The following is a 19,468-nucleotide window of genomic DNA, read 5'->3' on the forward strand; positions in this document are numbered from 1 at the left end:
TTTGCAAGGGCTTAAGTATATGACTTCCACATTAACCAGGTTCAAAACTTGTCAATATTGACCAATCTTGTTTTCTCTACTGCCTTTAATGTTTGAGCAATTTAAAGCAAATATCAGATCTGTCATTTTACCCATGAACACCTCACTGAGCATCTTTAACTGTCAAGGAGTCATACGCAGACAGACCGATCAACAGACAGACAGATGTGTGTATGTCTATCTAACGAGTTAACTTGTCTACATGAATATGTACATGCATATCTACTTTACTTAACCTTGTTGCTAAAGGGTGGTAAAATATACTACCCCAAAATGTGGTGTTCTGGCATACTGACTATTTTCAGTTAAAGACACCTCAAAAGACAAACTAGCAAGTATCAGATCACTCTGAGCTTCAACCTGTTTCTTAAAAGCAGAGGGATGAAATTCCCACGTGAAGGATGGCATCCCTGTACTGGAAGGAAAGCAACATTCTTATCATCAAGCATGAAAAGTTGAGACCAAGATAATTCTATAAAAATAGACCTGGTTAAAATAATTCTTATCCTTCTTTAGCCTCACCATGTAATTGTTTTTTTCACAACGTGCTGTTCTTTGTCCAACTCAGCATATTACCATTCACCTCTAACCGCATCTTTGGGTCTTCATTTCCTTACGTGGGCTCCAGTGTCATGTCAAACTTATATTAAATTTGCATGTTGTTTTCCTGTTAATCTATCTCATGTCAATTTAATTCTTGGGCCCAGCTGGGGCCCCTAAGAGGGCAGAGGTAGAGTGCGACTACCTACACTGTCATTATTACATATAAAATATTTAAAACAGGCTGGGTGCAGTGGCTCACACCTGTAATCCCAGCACTTTGGGAGGCCAAGGTGGGTGGATCACTTGAGGCCAGGAGTTCGAGACCAGCCTGGCCAACATGGTGAAATGCCATCTCCACTAAAACTACAAAAATTAGCCAGGTGTGGTGGCAGGCGCCTGTAACCCCAGCTACTCGGGTGGCTGAGGCGGAGGTTGCAGTTGGCCAAGATTGCACCACGGCACTCCAGCCTGGGCAATAGGGCGAGACTGTCTCAAAATAAAAAAAAATTAAAACAATCCCAATAATTAGAAATGTCTAGTTACCTGTCATTATTCAGACTACCTCAAGTGTCTCAAAATGTCTTTTTACAATTGAACATTTAATTCAAGAACCAAACAAAATCCCATAATGCCAGTTAAGTTTCCTTTATTCTAGAACATTCTGGCCTTCTATCTTTCCTTCTACAGCATTGATGTGTTAGGGAAGTCAGGCCACCATCCTGCAGAATGTCCCATGTTCTGGATTTGGCCAGTGGCTTCCATGGGTGTCACCGTACCTCTCTCTATCCTCTGTATTTCCTGTAAACTAACAGATCTAAGATCTTCATTCAATTTGTTTTCCTTCTTTTTTTGAGTGACCTTTAAAAATTGAGACAAAATATACATATATAATTTACCATCTTTTATTTTATTTATTTATTCTTTTAGACGGAGTTTCACTCTGTTGCCAGGCTAGAGTGCAGTGGTGTGATCTCGGCTCACTGCAACCTCCGCCTCCCAGGTTCAAGTGATTCTCCTGCCTCAGCCTCCCGAGTAGCTGGGACTACAGGCACCCGCCACCATGCCCAACTAATTTTTGCATTTTTAGTAGAGACGGGGTTTCACCATGTTGGCCAGGATGGTCTCAATCTCTTGACCTCATGATCTGCCCGCCTCAGCCTCTCAAAGTGCTGGGATTACAGGTGTGAGCCACCGTGTCTGGCCACCATCTTTTCTTTAAGCGTGCAGTTCAGTGGTAATAAATATCTTTTATTTATATTCTTGTTTTCCTTCGTCTAAACCTACCCCTTCCCATACCTGGGCTCCAGTAACCACTATTCTATTCTGTATCTTCACAAGGTCCACTTTTTTAGCTCTCACATATGAGTGAGAACATGTCATATTTGTCTTTCTGTGACTGGCTTATTTCACCTGACATAATGACCACTAGGTCCATCCATGTTGCTTCAAATAATAGGAATTTGATCTTTTTTATGGTTGAAAAACATTCCATTGTGTATTTATACCATATTTTCTTTATTCATCTGTTGATGGGCACTTAGGTTGATTTCACATTTTGGCTACTGTAAATAGTGCTGTGATAAACATGAGAATGCAGATATCTCTTCGATATATTGATTTCCTTTCTTTTGGACATATACCCAGTAGTGGAATGGCTGGATCACATGTTGGTTCTATTTTTAGTTTTTGAGGATTCCCCCATAATGGTACTATATTCATACTGTGTGCTTCCTTTACGGCCATACTATAAGGTAAGGCTAGCGTGAATCCATAGGTTCAAGTGGTGCCAACATGATCCCTGCATTATATTTCCCATCAACCGTGCATCTAATGATTTTAACATCCACCTCTTTTTTTTTTTTTTTTCTTAACTTTTAAGTTCAGGGGTATATGTGTAGGTTTTTTATACAGGTAAACTTGTGTCATGGGGGTTTGTTGTGCATATTATTTTGTCATGCAGGTATTAAGCCTAATACCCATTAGTTATTCTTCCTGATCCTCTCCTTCCTCCCACTCTCCACCCTCTGATAGGCCCTAATGTCTGTTGTTCCCCTCCATGTGTACATGTGTTCTCATCATTTAGCTCCCACTTATAAGTGAGAATACGCGGTGTTTGGTTTTCTCTTACTGAGTTAGTTTGCTAAGGATAATAGCCTTCAGCTCCATCCAAGTTACTGTAAAAGACATGATCTCACTCTTTTTTAACGGCTGCATAGTATTCCATGGTGTATATGTACCACATTTGCTTTATCCAGTCTACCACTGATGAGCATTTAGGTGGATTCCATATCTTTGCTATTGTGAATAGTGCTGCAATAAATATACATGTGTATGTGTCTTTACGACAGAATGATTTATAGTCCTTTGGGTATATACTCAGTAATGGGATTGCTGGGTTGAATAGTAGTTCTGTTTTTAGGTCTTTGAGAAGTTGCCACACTGTTTTCCACAATGATTAAACTAGTTTACAGTCCCATCAACAGTGTATAAGCATTCTTTTTGCTCCACAACCTCACCAACACCTGTTTATTTTTTTATTTTTTCAGACAGAATCTCGCTCTTGTTGCCCAGGCTGGATGGAGTGCAATGGCGTGATCTTGGCTCACTGCAACCTCCACCTCCCGGGTTCAAGTGATTCTCCTGAGCCTCCGCCTCCTGAGTACCTGGGATTACAGGCGTGTGCCACCACGTCTAGCTAATTTTGTATTTCTAGTAGAGACTGGGTTTCATCATGTTGGTCAGGCTGGTCTCGAACTCCTGACCTCAAGTGATCCACCTCCCTCGGTCTCCCAAGGTGCTGGGATTACAGGCATAAGCCACCGTGCCAGGTCTATTTTTTGATTTTTTAGTAATAGCCATTCTGACTTGTGTGAGGTGGTATCTCATTGTGGTTTTGATTTGCATTTCCCTAATGATCTTTTTTTCATATGTTTGTTGGCTACATGTATGTCTTCTTATGAAAAGTGTCTATTCATGTCCCTTGTCCACTTTTTAATGGCTTTTTTTTCCTTGGGAGACCGAGGGAGGTGGATCAAATGAACTAAACAATCAACTGTTACCTAGATCCATGATTTCATTAGGGGTTTCAAAATGCACATTGTCTATCATTTCTTCTGCATTTTTTAAGCTGAAATTCTTCAAAAAAGAACTTTCATCAACAATTCTGTTACTCTGACATAAAGTTCATAGAGATGTATAATTATTTCTCTTGTATTTTATCAATTTTCTAATTAAAGGGTTGGTGTCATAGTAACCTTCAATGGTGAATAATGAGTTTGGGTTTGTTTGTTTATCAGCTTGTTTCGTTATGTTTTAGCATGAGGCCAAAGGTTTACAAAACTTTTCTCAGCTTCCTGAGAATCTGAGCTTTAGTTAACTCTTACTCAGAAACCTACTAAGAGGATGAACATCAAATAGGTTACCAGGCAACATGGCTTATGGTAAAAATAATGCCAGATTGGTAAATTACAAATGGATGGGAAGACTGGTAAGTAAATTAAATACCTAACAGGGATGCCATACTTTGTACCTCCCTGAGGAAAATGACTCTTGGAACTGGGCATATACCTTGCGGGAACCTTGGAAGCTATGTCTGTGAGTTGTTACAAGAGATATTGCCACCTGTGGGGTAGAAATATTTTAAGCCAGAAAGACTCCTGCAACTGCTTGATATGGATTGCATCTCCCTGCACCTGACCTGTGTCACCTGGGAGGAAAATGCCCCCCCAGACAGTGGTGTAGGCTGTTGTGTGACCTGTGGCGAGGATACCCACAGGGGAATAATGCTGTCCTCACAGCAAGCGGTGCTGCAGCCCCTCAAGCCTTCTGGGTAGATGAGGCCACGTGTGCCCTGTAAGAGTCCTGTGAGTCCAAATGTGTAGCTGAACCTAGGAAGACCCCTGCCTCTGCATAGTGTCACTATGAAATGGAAGATTTTTATATATTTGGTAGGTTTTGATCAACTGCGGTCTTTATTCTTTTTGATGCTCGAATTTTACCATCTTAGATTAAAATAGCTTCCGTCCCCTTAAGACACAACTTAGCCTAGTTTTAAACAACAGCTCATTCATTTGCTTCTTTCATTTTCTCAAAAAGTGCTTATTGAACATGTGTCTATGCAACGAGCGCTTTGCAGGTTACAAAGCAAGAAAGAAACACAAGAGCTGCCTCAAAGCAGTGTGTGTATGGCTAAATGTCAAATGAACTAAACAATCAATGTTGTACAAGCTCAGAAAACAAAATCCCTTCTCTACTCTGAGACAGACAGAATGGATTTCACATCTTAAACGAAGCCTTATGTGGCAGGGAGGACAGTGCCCCCGCAAAGACATTCACAGCCTAATCCCCAGAACTGCAAACACGTTAGGTTTCATGGCAAAGGGGAATTAAGGCTACTCATCAGCTGACCTTAAGATTGAGATCAAGAACAAGGCCTTTTAAAATAGGAAAACAGGCAGAAGAGGGGTCAGAGTTGGAGAACGCCCTGTGGCGAAGGAAGCCGACATAGGAGTGATGACACCAGCTTTGGAGATAGAAGAAGGGGTCCCAAGTCAGTGAATGTAGGCAGCAGCCTCAAGAAGCCGGAAAAGGCCAGGAAGGGAACGTCCCCTAAAGCTGACGTCTTTTTTTTTAATTGACAAGTAACAGATGTATACATTTTCTGGGCCCATGTGATAATTTAATACATTCATTTAATGTGCAAAGATCTAATCAGGTTAATTGGGATAGCCATCACCTTAAATATTTGTCTTTTCTTTATGCTAGAAACATCAGAATTCTTCCCTTCTAGCTATTCTGAAATGTGCAATAGATTATTGTAAATGATAGCCACCCCACTGATCTATCTAGAGCTGACATCTTGATTTTTACCTGGTCAGACCTGTATCGGAGTTTGACCTCCAGAACTCTAAGATTCATATTGTGGTAATTTGTTACAGCTGAATAGGAAACTAACACACCTTACTTGACCACTCCATCCATCATTCATTAATTCATTAAGTTACATGAGCAAATGTTATGGCTGCTTGTGTTGGGAAAATGGCAGGTGCTGTACCAGGTGCTTTACCGGTGGTTTGCTGTGAAAGCACCTGCTAGCTAAGGGGCCTGGATAAAGAATTTAGTTTCCACACCAGCACAATGAGGACCACCCTCATAGGTTGTTGTTCAGAGTTAAAGAAGAGAAGAAACAGAAGGCACACAGCACAGTCTGGCATTTTGTTGGTTCTAAATAATAATAGTTTCCTCATTCTTGGTTCTTCCCTCTCACAGAAGATTGGCTGCAGAATAGAGTCAGGGCCCACAGCTCACCTTCCCAGTTGCCTGGGAAGACAGTCCCAGAGGCACTCTTTATTGTAACAGTTTTAATGTTAATCACTATAGATAATCTGTCAGAAGAGATGATGATAAAAACTGTCAGGGTGTTCCAAAGCCACAAAGACAAGAAAATGTCCCTCTACGTCGATTAAAATACCATGCCACTAATGAAGCCAACTCTCATCCTTTAATTTCCCAAAGGGCTGCAAGAGAGGAAAACAAATACTAAGAATTCTTCATTTCCATACAGGATCAGGTCCACTGGTGAAGACTTAAATTTTCATTGCCCTCTATGGCATTGTGCCATTTTTAATTATTCAGACAACAATGAAATACACGTATTTTTCCATTCCCCTGAAAGTCCCTAACAATCCCATGAGGCGGACAGAGACATTTTGGGTTACACATGCTGGGCTCTGAGTCTGGGGCATCTTTACTACCTCAACAGCTCGGCAAAGTTAGCAGGATTCACCCACTGCCTTCCCAGGAACATTTGTTTTTTTGAGGTCACAAAAATGTCATCTTGTCACTGTGCTTCAAAGATGAACATATTTTCTCTGGCCAGTTTTGCTACATATGCAAACTGTACAAGTGATATTCCTCTTGGAAGTGACTGGAGTTTAGAACCACGCCCAGCACACAGGAAGCACTTACTAAATGTAAGCTATTAAAACTTGCCAATGATAACATCTTTCAAGGGAAACAGTACCGCTTAAATTATCCAAAAACTGATTAATATTTTGATTAGCTACTAATGATAAAAAAAGAGAGAAGATGACATTAATTCTTCTTTCTTTCTTCTTATTTCACATAAAAATTAATCAAGTTCTCACCAAATGGCAAGCAAGGTGTCAGAACAAAATTAGGATAGAATTTGACACACATGCAGCAAATGTTGTCCAGAAAGTGAAGGAGGACTCATTAATCAACATGGTGGATAATTAATTCAGAAGGAAAATGAAATCACCACAGCCATTTTTTACAATATAAATCTGGCATCTTCAAGGTAGCAGGTGTAAGCACAATAGACCCCCAAAACCTATTCAATACGAGTGAAACTGAAATTTTCCTCATCAGAAGCTAATTCCAATGGACAGATAATACTGCAAGATTCCTCTCTGGGACCATCAATCATGTTTATAAACTATCCATTTGAAGGCATAGACAATGGAAATTTGGGGAGAAAAATACCTCCTGAGTATATTTGCTGTCCAAATTGTAATGAGAGGTTAAATGAGAGTAAAAATAGTCACCTACATGAGCAAAACACCAATAAGACTTATGACAAACCATTAAATTTCTAGTTGGGTAAAACCTAGACTGCAAGGTACAAGAGGTCAGCAGTTTGCATCTTTCTTCGCTGACAATTTTGCTCTTAAAGATTTCTATGTTTAGAAGTGGGATTGGGCCTTCCCTCTCCAGGCCTCGAGCTACTCCTTAAAGGGGGCAAAGATGCAGACAGATGCCACTAACTCTTCCTTCCTGGGATTTCCATATTACTGCCCACTCCCTACTCCACCCACTGGCCAGACTATGACAGAAGGCTCAGCCCTGGAAGAGGCAAAAAGGGGAAGTAGGACTACCTCTCTCTGCCTCAAATCCTCCCTGTCCTTCCTGCGCTTCCCTCCTAACCCTCTTTCACACATATCCTAATCAACTTTTCCTGGGTGATATTTCATTATGTTTGGAAGCATGGGCTTGGAAGTCACATTAACTTAGCTTCTAATATCAGCTTTACCCCTCAGGAACCACATGAGCTCAGATGGTTTATTCGTATCTCTGAGCCTAGTTTCCCTGTTGGCTATGTGAGAATATTATCACCTACATCAAACGAAAGTCACTGAGAGGATTAGCAATAGTGCCTCTTACGATCAGGCTTTGTTTTAATCGCCATATATATATATATATATATATATATATATATATAGAGAGAGAGAGAGAGAGAGAGAGAGAGAGAGAGCCATTTAATCATCACAAAAAAATCCTATAAGGTAGGTGATTAACATCTCTCTTACAGGTAAAGAAACTGAGGCATAGAAAAATTAAAATACCTTTTTCAAAGTCATATAACTATTAAATGACAGAACTGGGATTTGAACTCATGACATGTTTCTCCAGAGTCCTTGCTGTACCATCTGTCCTACTGTCTCAAAACGGCACACACGAAGCACTTAGCCCAGTCTCTGGCACAGAACAGATGCTGGAAAATGTGACTTCTCATTGTTGTTGCTGCTGTTATGTCTGTCATGTCTTTCTTGATATCATTTTTTACAGCACAGAAAAGAAGATGCAGGGGAAACATGATAAACACGTGGATGGATGGGTGGATGGCTGCATGGGTGAATGGACAGATGGACAGATGGGTGAAGGGCTAGATGGAAGAATGGATGAATGGATAGACGACAGACGGAGGGATAGATGAATGAATGGATGATGGATGTATGAATGGAGGAATGCACGGGTAGGCGAATAGATGGGTCGATAGATGGCTAGCTGGCTGGATGGAAGATTGGATGGGTAGATGAAGTATGGATGATAGATGGGTGGGTGGATGGATATGCAGATGGATGGATGATAGGTGGACAGATGGGTGAATGGGCAAATTGATAGATGGGCAGATAGGTGGATGAGTAGATAGGATGGATGAATAGATGAATGAAAGAATGGGTGGGTGAAAAAGATGGGTGGAAGGACAGATGAGTAAATGGATGATGGATGGCGGAATGAGTAGGTGTATGGGTGCATGGGTAGGTGGAAGAACAAGTGAATGGGTGGGTGGGTAGATGGATGGATGGATTAGTGGATGAATGAATGACTGATAGGTAGGTAGATAGAGAAATAACATTTGAAACTCTTATTTGGAAAGGCAAAGTGTGCTCTACCTGAAGGTTAGATGACAATCATAGGAAAGAACTGTAGCATGGAAAATGTAAAGGTAGCTTTAGAAATGGAATAAACCTTGGATGTCAGCTAAGTAAGTCACCTTTCCAACCAACACCTGGGCTTTCTGAACATCTTCTCTGCCAGGCATTCCCCAGCCTCTGCTATGTGCACCCACCACAATGGGGAGCTAGCTGCCCCTCCAGGCTAACTCCCCTTATAGCTGAGCTTAGAGAAGTAGAAAGGCCTTCTTCATAATTAGCTGACATTTGTCTCCCTAAAATTTCCATCATTGTCCCAGGTTGCACTGTCTTATCCATGACAACCTTGCATATATCTGATGATTATAATCAGGCGATCACAAAATATCACCAATCCAGGCTAAACAGCCTTAGGCATCTGACACGGAGCCTTGCAGGCCATGGTGGGGATTTGAGTTTTACCAGGGAACAGGGGGAAGCTGGCGAAGGCTTTTCAGCACATGTGACCCAACCGAGTTCACTGAAAAGGTGCCTCTGGCTGGTGTGTGAATGGACTGGACGGTTAGGGATGGACGTGAAGTTGGTGGCAGAGGCCAAGAAAGAAATAGCAATGGCTGGGACTCAGGTGCTGGTGATGAGGTGGTAAGAGGTGGAGAGCTCCAGGAGGGAGAGGGAAGTCCCACGCAGGGACCAGTGTGGAGGTGAGGAGAGGCTGCGTCAGGATGGCAACACAATTCAGCCGGTTGTTTGTAGTAAACACCATGTTTACCACATGTGACACTGTATAAATGGATTTCCGGTTAAGGACAGACGCACCCTCCGGGGACTGTCAGCTGCCCAGCACTGAGATGGAGAACTGCATGTGTTTCCTGTGGCTGCTGTAACAAAGTAACACAAAGTGGGTGGCTTCAACCAACAGAAATGTCACTTCACAGCTCAGAGACCAGAAGGCCGAGACGAAGGTGTCAGCTCATGCAAACGGTAGGCAGCTGTGCCAGGAAGTTAAGGTCCTCAGGAGCATCCTCCAGCCGGCAAGGGCTTGGAGCTGCTGGTGGATAAAAACCCCAGGGTGAGGGAGATGGCAGGGAGGGTCTGCAGCCTTAGATGAGGATTCTTGTGACTCACCTCAGAACCAACTAGAGGATGCATCATTGGGGTACTCTGCTGTCCTGCAGAAGTTCTCAAACTATTAAGCATCAGAATGACCAGAATGATTTGAAGATATGAAATGCAGCTCCCCAGGCCTGCTCTCAGGTCCTGGTTCAGAAGGTGTGGCTTAGGGAGATGTATTTGTTTCCTAGGGTACTTTCCTATGTAGCCAAGTACCATCAGCTAGATGGCTTAGAACAACAAACATTTATTCCCTCACAGTTCTGGAGGCCAACAGTCCAAACTCAAGGTGTTGGCAGGGATGGTTCCTCCTGCAGGCTGTGAGGGAGGATCCGTTCCATGCCAGCTCGGTGTTGCCAGCAACCCTTGGTGTTCCTTAGCTTGCAGCTGCATCATTTCAGTGTGTGCCTCTCTTCACATGGGGTCCCTCCTGTGTCTACGTCCAGATTTCCCTCTTCTTATGAATATACCAGTCACGTTGGATCAAGGCCCACCCTAATAGCCTCACCTTAGTGAGGTTACAACTGCAAAGATTATACTTCCAAATAAGGTTACACTCACTGTCCAAGGAGTTATGACTTCAACATAGCTTTGTGAGGGACACAATTCCACCCATGACAGCAACCCTGAAGGGACTGCAGTCCCTCTCCATCCATGACAACATCCAACTAGAAATGGGTTGGCCATCTATTAGGCGTACCAGAGACTATTCCTGCTCTAGCCAAGAATTTGGGCCAGATGACTACTAAGATCCTTTGCAGTATCCAGATTCTAAGATTCTGTTTTCCTGGGAAGGTGTAAACTGCTTTATCTTCAGGTTAGCTCTTAACTCATGAGCTGGGACAATGCTCTTTCCCCTAAGAAAGGTAAGGTCACGGTAAAAAGTCTTTTCCTCTGGACAGAAAAGGGGCATTTGGTAAAAACTAGGGAAATCTGAACAGACTGTGAACTTTAGCTAATAATAATGTATCAATATTGGATCATTCACTGTAACAAATGTAGCATGCTAATATAAGACATGAGTACTAAGGGAAACTGGGTCTGGGAGATATGGGAACTCTCTGTATTCTTCTCTCAATGTTTCTATAAATCTAAAACTGTTCTAAAAAATAATCTATTACGTAAACAAAAAGTAGAGCTGGACTCCTTAATGCGTGCCTGTTACAAACGAGGCCCACCCTCTCTTCAGCGCTGAGATGCCAAGAATCTGGAGCTGCAATGGGAACTTGAAACGAGAGGCTGAAAACAGGCCGGGCATGGTGGTTCATGCCTGTAATCCCAGCACTTTGGGAGGCCGAGGCAGGCGGATCACCTGAGGTAAGGAGTTCGACACCAGCCTGGCCAACATGGTGAAACCCCGTCTCTACTAAAAATACAAAAATTAGCTGGGCGTGGTGGCGGGCGCCTGTAATCCCAGCTACTCAGGAGGCTGAGGCAGGAGAATCACTTGAACCTAGGAGGCGGAGGTTGCAGTGAGCCAAGATTGTGCCACGGCACTCCAGGCTGAGTGACAGAGTGAGACTCCGTCTCAAAAAAAAAAGAGGTTGGAAACAGCCTATATATCCTATAGGGAGAAGAGGAGGCCTGGAGTGAGGCCTGGAGTCAGCCCTGGAGTCCAGGAAAGGCCCTGCGGCAGAGATGGCAGTTTTTGAGGGGTCTCTCAGAAGCTCCTCTTTTAGAGAAGGAGGTCACACATGAATTTCTCTGGGTTCTGGAATCCACAGTGCCAGAGGGGACCTCTCACTGGAGACGCCTCTCCCTTGCATTTACATCCTTGAGGTTTCAACCTAGCAGTCAGCTTCTCCGTTCCCTAAGGCGACTCTGCTCACCTGCCCTTTCTTTGCATTTCCAAGGGTTTCCTCCAATCTTTGGTGGGCAATGGCAGTGCAGGCCAGCAGCCCAGGGGCATCACTGTGGGGGTGGCTGGAGTTTTGCTGATGTTTTCTGAATTCCACACTGTGCCTGGAGTGAGGAGAATCCTATGGAACATAGGCTTGGCCTGGGCGTGCATGGTTAATCCATGCATGGTTAATCCACGTCCAGGGGTGTAAGGACACACTTCCAGGCCGCTGAAGGAGACCACTCTGTTGTTGAGTCAGGCCCCTATGGCCATAACTAAGCAGAACAAGCAGTTGGGAACAGAGTGAGAAACATGTTGAGTGTCACAGGTCGGGTGGAAGCTGCCACTGCAATGCTGGTTTCATCTTGCGCTGTACCCTGCACCATGCTTCTCGGCACGAGTCCTCTCTTCCTGCAGACAGTGGGTATTGAGAGGCTCCCTGCTTTTCTTGGCTTCCTCCCCGGCACCCAGCCTACATCGTGCCTAGCGCTGAAGGAGAGCACAGTCAACACTTGCCAAGAGAACAGAAGGTGTTTGTCACACAGAACTCCTCAAGAAATCCTCACCTTGCTGGAAGACGACAGCGAGAGTTGCCGTGGGAACCCAGCAGGCATTCCCTCTGCTCTGCTCTCCAGTGACCCCTTTACAAACCCCATAAGAACCCCGTCATGTCAGGTGCTGCGCAGGAACCTGCCACCTCTCAGGAAATCCAGAAGCAAGGATCAGGTTTGAGGACAGGGCTGCTGTCCACCTTAGCTGACCTTTGCTCCTGCCAGCCATCTGGTGCTCCAGGTGAACTCTGATACTGATCCTTCCAGAAAGGTAGAGGGACCTAGACACAGGTTATCTGTATCATGGGGCTGGAGTGAGGAGGGATTCAAGGGTCCATGAGGACCCTCTTTCAGAGACTAAGGCCTCTTCCCCGCTACCACCCCTGTGTCCAGCCTCCTGCAGTCTCTCCTCTGGCACACGTTCCCTCTGCTGGAAATGCCCCACGCACATTCTGACAAGTCTTAATGGCCCTTTAGACCCAGCCCAGACATGCTGGTTGAGGTTCACCTGGTACCGCCAGGCCTGCACCACCCAAGGGACAGGGTTTGATATGGGAAATAGACACAACTCGCGCATCACAGACTGTGCTGAGAGCCTCAGAGGCAGAGCACGCACACACAGCCCCTGGCATGGACCAAATACTTAATCCACATGTAAAAAAAAAAAATGGAAGGAAGAGAAGGAAGGAAGGGAGGGAGGGAAGAAGAGAGGGAGGGAGGGAGGGAGGGAGGACAGTTTCAAAATAGCTTAGAACTTGGAAGGGAAAGAGAGGGGCATTATTTATGGGCCTCGTAAAACTGACCACCACCCCACAAGGATTTCCAGTGGAATATCTCACAACAGGTCATGAAGTGAGATGGTTCAATTCCAGAACTATTTCATGAGCATCTGCCATGTGCAAGGAACCATGTCTATCCCTATTCCTGAGGGAAGTGGGGGAGGTAGGCAAGCTGCACTGTAGTCTCAGAAAAGAGCTGCTTCCACTCAGACCTTAGGCTCTTCCCTCTTTGTGAGTCTCCTCTTGCATGACCTAAGAATCTCCACCAAATGGTCCACAAACAGCCAGGAAGCACCAGAGGATGTCCTGGCCTTGGAGTCAGAAGACCTGGGTTTGAGCCCTGGACCAACCATTGCTGATGGAGAGGTAACCGTTCCCAGCATGCCAGTGTCTAAGAAGACCCCTCAGCTCCTCAGGAACATTCCATAAACCATTCTCTGACACACCCCATCGAGTCCTCTAACTCACTGACCCCCTCCTTTCACTTCTTCTCGAGGTCCCTCAAGTCTCCACTTCCTTCCTCATCCTCTTGAGATGTTGCGATCACTTCCACCCAAAGATTTCCAGCCCTAATTCCTGGAACCTGGAAATGTGACCTTCGAAGGGAAAAGGGCCTTTGCAGATATAATTAAGTGAAGGATCTTGACACGAGGAGACTATGCTGGATTATCCAGTGAGCCCTAAACCCAGTCCCAAGTGGCCTCCTAAGAGAGAGCAGAGGAAGATTTCACACACACAGAAGAAGGGGAGGTCACGTGCAGGCAGAGATGGAAGTAAGTTGGCCACAAGCCAAGAAGTGCTGCAGCCTTGGAAGCCCCAGAAGCTGGAAGAGACAGGAACAACCCTCCCAGAGCCTTTGAAGGGAGCATGGCCCTGCTGATACCTTGATTTCAGCCCAGAGAAAGTGATTTGGGACTCTGGCCTCCAGAACAGTGACACGGTGAGTTTCTGTTGCATGAAACCACCAAGGTTACGGTAATTTGTGACAACAGCCACAGGATACTAATACAGCTAAGTCCCTATCCCTCTCCCTCTCACCTGGAAAAGCTCTCCAGGCCAGCTCTGGTTCCGGTACCAGGATGAGGTCAGCACTGCATCCCATTGTATAGGTAAGGCAAGTGGAGTCACCAACACGGTAAGTGGCAGAACTGGGACTCAACGCTAGCAGTCAGGCCTGGGTTTTAACCACTGGGCTCTATGCCCTGCCCGCCAGTGGCCTCCATGCCTCCATCCAGACCACTGAGACCACTGCAGGGGAAGGCACCTCGTCCAGGCAGGGAGGCCCACCAGCCTCACACGGGCACTCCATGTTGCTCAGCAAGTCTGGGTTTCTCTAGTAAGCCACTTCCCCGTGGTCAGGACTGCTTCACACTTTTTACATTCCCACCTTTTCCTCCTCTGCTGTCCTCACCTTGAACTTCATTGAGAAGCATCTGACAGGTTCATCCCATGTTCCCTCCCCAAGCCACGTATCTGCTGCATCTACACAGACTCTGCCATCCTTCCTACCATGACAGATGATGGCCCAACTCCTCTCCAGTCCTTCCATCAAACAGAATCTCCCTGCAAGAGTGTCCCAGCCACAGGACATCCTTGGAGGAAGCTGGGTAGCCTGAAGAGCCACATCACATCTGGAAACATGTTGTGTTGTCTTCTGGTTTGAGTAATGCTGCACCTCATCCTAATCTTTGCTATCATGTACCTTATAGCCTCAAATTTTCTCTGCAGGCGACTTTCCACCAAGAACACCATTGTGTAGAGGCACCTACTGTGCCAGGCACTGTTGGAGGCACTGGGGATGAATCAGCAAGCAAGACAGAAGGTCCCTGCACTCACATAACTTACTGCTCAGGTGGGTAAGATGAAATACAACAACATTAATTTGAAAAAGAAAAAAAAAAAAGGTAGTTTCCGGCAGCCTTGAGTGTTGTGAAGAAAATCAGAATTTCAGGATAAAGAATGGAGGCAGTGCTGCTGTAGGGAAGGCCCCTCACTGGCTCTGATGACTCTTCAATCTCTGTGCCCTCTACACCTCCCACCCTGGCCTGGTCCTCTTTTGGGTCCTCAAATGTCCACATCCCTTCCCACCTCTTGTGCTTGCTGCCCACTCCAAAACGCTCATCGCCAGCTCTCAGCTTAACAAGCCTCCATTAGAAGCATCCTCTCCAAGATTCTTTAACAGAGCCCCTTGCCCCTTCATAGCTCTGACCATAGTGTAGAATCAAAGAGTTACCAGTGCACAGGGTTGTGTTTGCTTGTATACTCTCTATAAGGACAAAAACCAAGACTCTTACTTGCTAGTGTCCGGCAAACAAGAGTCTTGGATCTACCACAGTGCTTGATGCAGAAGGAGCCCTCAGCAAGAATCTGTTGGATTCATCAATCCATTAATTACTTTTTTAAAAGTACTGCTTGCATGAACCAGCAACCCAATCAAAGAACAAGTGAACAAAGAACCTTGGATGAGTTGTTTAACTTCCCTGGGCTTCAAGTTTTTAGAGATGAGGAACAAAATCATTTCTCTAAAGTGTTTACAAAGAATAAAAAGAGTAGTAGTTGTAAAAATATACCATATGGTTGGCACATAAAAAACTACTAAACACACATATTTAAAAACCTCAATTCGACAAATACTCATGGAACACTTACTTTGTACAAACACAATTTCGAGACAGTTTAGAGGTAATGTTGGTAGCATCCAGAAAGAGTCCTAAGCTCATTCTAATAATAGAGAAAACAGACATAGGTCTGAACTTCTTTTTTTGTCTTACGTTCTTTGACTCTGAAAAAATCTAAGCTCAGTCTTTTTAAAAAGCTGTTCGGTCAGTAGAAGAAAAGATTGAAAACACTCAGGCCTAAGCCAAATCCATTACTACCTGTGTGACCTTAGGGAAAAACCAATAAATCTTTCTGAACCCCAGCTTCCTGGTCTAAAACGAGAGAGTTGTGAGAATTAAATAAGATCGCAGGCGAGAGGTGTGTGGCAGTGGTCAGGCCCAGAGTAAGGCTGGAGCTAAAACATGCTCGGCACTCCATGCCCCTAGAAGCTTCCAGGACCAGCCAGTCCTGCCCAGTTCCTCCCTCCTCCTGGTCCCAGCATGTGCTGAGACTGAGTCCACCTCCATTATAACCACAGTCAAGGAGCCTGATAAAAATCAAAGGAAATATTCCTTCCTCAAATCCTCTCTGTAAGAGACAGCCTATGAATAAGCAATGTAAAAGATAAACCACCACGCACACCTCGGAAATGCTCTTTGTCAAAAATAACTCGGCAGGATAGAGCAAAGTTACAGCTCTCATGGGGCTTGAAATGAGGGGGCAATCAAGTCACGTAATGGCATATTTCGAATCCCAGCTAAGCTTCATGTTAGAATTACAAATGCGATAACTGATTTGCCAGAGAAAAATGCTATTTTTAGTGGGAAGTGTATCACAGATTTCCATGCATACTAAGCTCCTGCCATTCTGAGTGACATTTTCTTTCTGGGAGCATCTAAGCAGGACCACAGAGCAAGATGGAAAGATTAAAAGTAATTGGCAATGCTATAATTGAAAAAAAAAAAAAAAAGACTGGGTTCTTAAAACTAGTGTCCAACCACAATGCCTGAAACTGAATTGGAGTTCAATAAATATTGAATGTTGGGACGGGAGGGAGGATGGGAGGCTGGGGGAGAGGAAGAGAGGAATGAATTTAGCTCACAAGCTGAACACTCTCCGTGCATGCTTGATAATCAATGCTAAACACTCTTCAGGCAAAATAAGACAAGCTCCCAAGAGAAATGAATATATAATTCCAGAGGTGCAAGAACAAAATCATTATAAACTTCAACATTCCTATTGTACTCAAGCATCAGGACTGGCAAACTGCAGCAGCTGCTTATAATTTCATATAATGTAGGGATAAAGAAAGACTCGGCTTCTTATGCCCCATCACTTTTTGAATAAAAAACAAAAACAGGAGGATTAATACTTTCCTCTTTTAAAGTACTAATTACTTTAGTCAGAAGGTTATAGAGTACCACATACTTGCAAATTAAATATCCGGGTGCTGATTGCATGATCCAAATCATTTCACTCTACTTTTCATTTTCATGTTTTGTAAGAAAACAGACTTTTAGCTCTGAAATCATTTGATAATTAGCTGCTCACATCACTTAATATAATAAGTGACATTTATGAACCTCTGCCAATAACTTCGTCTCCCATTGCTCGTCCATTTCTCCCTACTACTTCAGACAAGGTGGCAAATTTTAATTTGTAATCCTTGCCATTCTGATTAGGGAGTTAAGTGAAAATGAAGAATGGCATCTGGATGGCTGCACAAGGCTTAATTAACCAAGCCACACAACTCTGGCACCCAGAAATGGATTAACAAGCCCTGACTCCCCTCTTGGTGCAAGGTCAGCCCTGCACTTACGAGGCTCCAAGCCTGGCTCTTCACCAGGCACTCTGTGAGGAAGGAGCACCCATTCAAAACAGAGGAGAGTCCCTTTCTTCTGAGAACAGTCATTGAGCTCACAAAGTGGCATGAGTCAGACCTAGCAGAGCTCTTCTCTCAGGCCAGTTAAGTAGTTGCTCCTGAAAAGGATGAGCCAGAGCTGTTTCTGGTTCTACCTAGGATCTACCTCTTTGTGTCACAGGACACCACTTCCTGGACCCAGGGAGATAGGATCAGGAAGCTGCTCAGTTTTGCTTCCCAGATCTCCCATTTTCAGTATGCTTTCAATTCTCTTGAGAAAGACTCAAGGAAGGGCTACTCGCCCTGACCACTTCTCTTTATGGTCTGCTAATCTGACCAGGGCTCACAGGCAGCTATCACCATAAGGATGCATCCCCATCACAAGTCTCTTTCACATCATTACACATGACAGTATCAAAAGGCTCTAGGTTACGGGTTCCCCATTTGAGAGATGAGAAAACTAGGCTCAGAGAATGTCTGTAAAATATAAATGTGCCTGAGCCTAAATAGTGAGGAAGCTCAAGTCCCATTCTTCACTCACCAGATGTATCACTGTGGGTAAACCTCTCAGCCTAGCTGAGCCTCAGCTGCTTCAACTATCAAACACTGAAAATAAGATGCCATACCAAAAAGCAGTACCAAATTAAATAAGGGGCGTGACATGAGCACCAAATTAAATAAGGGGTGTGCACATTTCTAAATGTGACATAAACATAAGGTATTTTATCTGAAAACATAAGGCATTACAGTTTATTGTCATCTTGATGATTCCAAATTCACACAAATTACCCTCCAGTGGGTAGTGAGTGGGCAGAAAGCCACACATCTTTAATCTAGAATAAAAAAAGTTTCCTGTAAATGGAATCCAATTTGAAGGGTTCACATTTGGCCCCATTATTAATCATCAGCAGTCTACCAAGAAAGCAAAGAATGTTAAAATAAAAATCATCAGATATAACCAAATAAGAATTTGATCTGGGAGAAATGAAGCCCAGCTTTGAATGATCTCAATCTCTGACTGGATTAATATAATCCATAATTATGTTGCTAGCCACTTAGAAGAAGATAACATCACCCTCGTCCTCAGATTGTCTTCTCAACTTCCTATACAATGTCTAGCACATAATCAAAAATACACAGAGATATGAGACAAGAAAATATGATCAAAAACTGAGTGGTACTCTAGATAACAGACACAGAACGAGGGTACAGATAATAACGTCTTCAGTCAGACACTTCAAAATAATTTTGTTTGAGAGTAAATAAAAAAATAAGATTGAGATTTTTGGCCAAAACAACGGAAAATTAAAGAAAACATAAAGAAGTCATCTTAAATATCTGATGAAAGGAAAGAAGGAACGACAAGGCCATGCTGATGAACCTCATCTAGTTAAGGTTATCTATTAGACTGTGACCCATGTGTCCATCCAGGAGAAATCTTGGGCAATGATTAAAAGCCTGGACCATGGAGCAGATGACCTGAGTTTAAAACCTGACCCTATCATTTACTAGTATATGCCCTTGGGCAAGTTACTTAACCTCTCTCCAGTTCTCATCCATAAGATGTTACAGAGAGCAATACCTACTTCATGGGCTTGTTAAGAGGATTATACGAGTTAGTTCTGTGAAGTTCTTAAACAGTGTCTGGCACTATCTGCTATTGCACATAGGGAGGATGATGTTAATATTCATTAACTACATAAGAAGAACTGAATTCAGTTCAGTACACACTCACATCACCTGGTCTGGCCTCTCTCCCCTGCTGCCTCTTCTTTATTTTCTATACTCAATACCCCAATCTGCACATCAGCCACACTTGGCTACTGACATCTCACCAAACGCACCTTGCTCCTTTCACGTCCTTACATCTGCCCTTTCTTTCCTCTGTCTGAAAATCGTTTCCACGCTTAATCAACTTGGAAAGCTTCTTCATAAGCTTTCAGAATCAATTCAGATTCTCTCCCTCTTAACTA

At 43.9% G+C, this 19,468-nt stretch overlaps 1 protein-coding gene across 7 annotated transcripts in view; it reads right to left on the minus strand.

Moving 5' to 3' along the window:
• Window positions 1-19,468, minus strand: part of EVC2 (EvC ciliary complex subunit 2) — a 180,538-nt gene that overhangs the window by 113,807 nt on the left and 47,263 nt on the right. The gene's annotated exons all lie outside the window — the stretch shown is intronic.

The sequence above is a fragment of the Homo sapiens genome, chromosome 4, assembly GCF_000001405.40.
Source record: "Homo sapiens chromosome 4, GRCh38.p14 Primary Assembly".
In the NCBI taxonomy this organism is placed as follows: domain Eukaryota; kingdom Metazoa; phylum Chordata; class Mammalia; order Primates; family Hominidae; genus Homo; species Homo sapiens.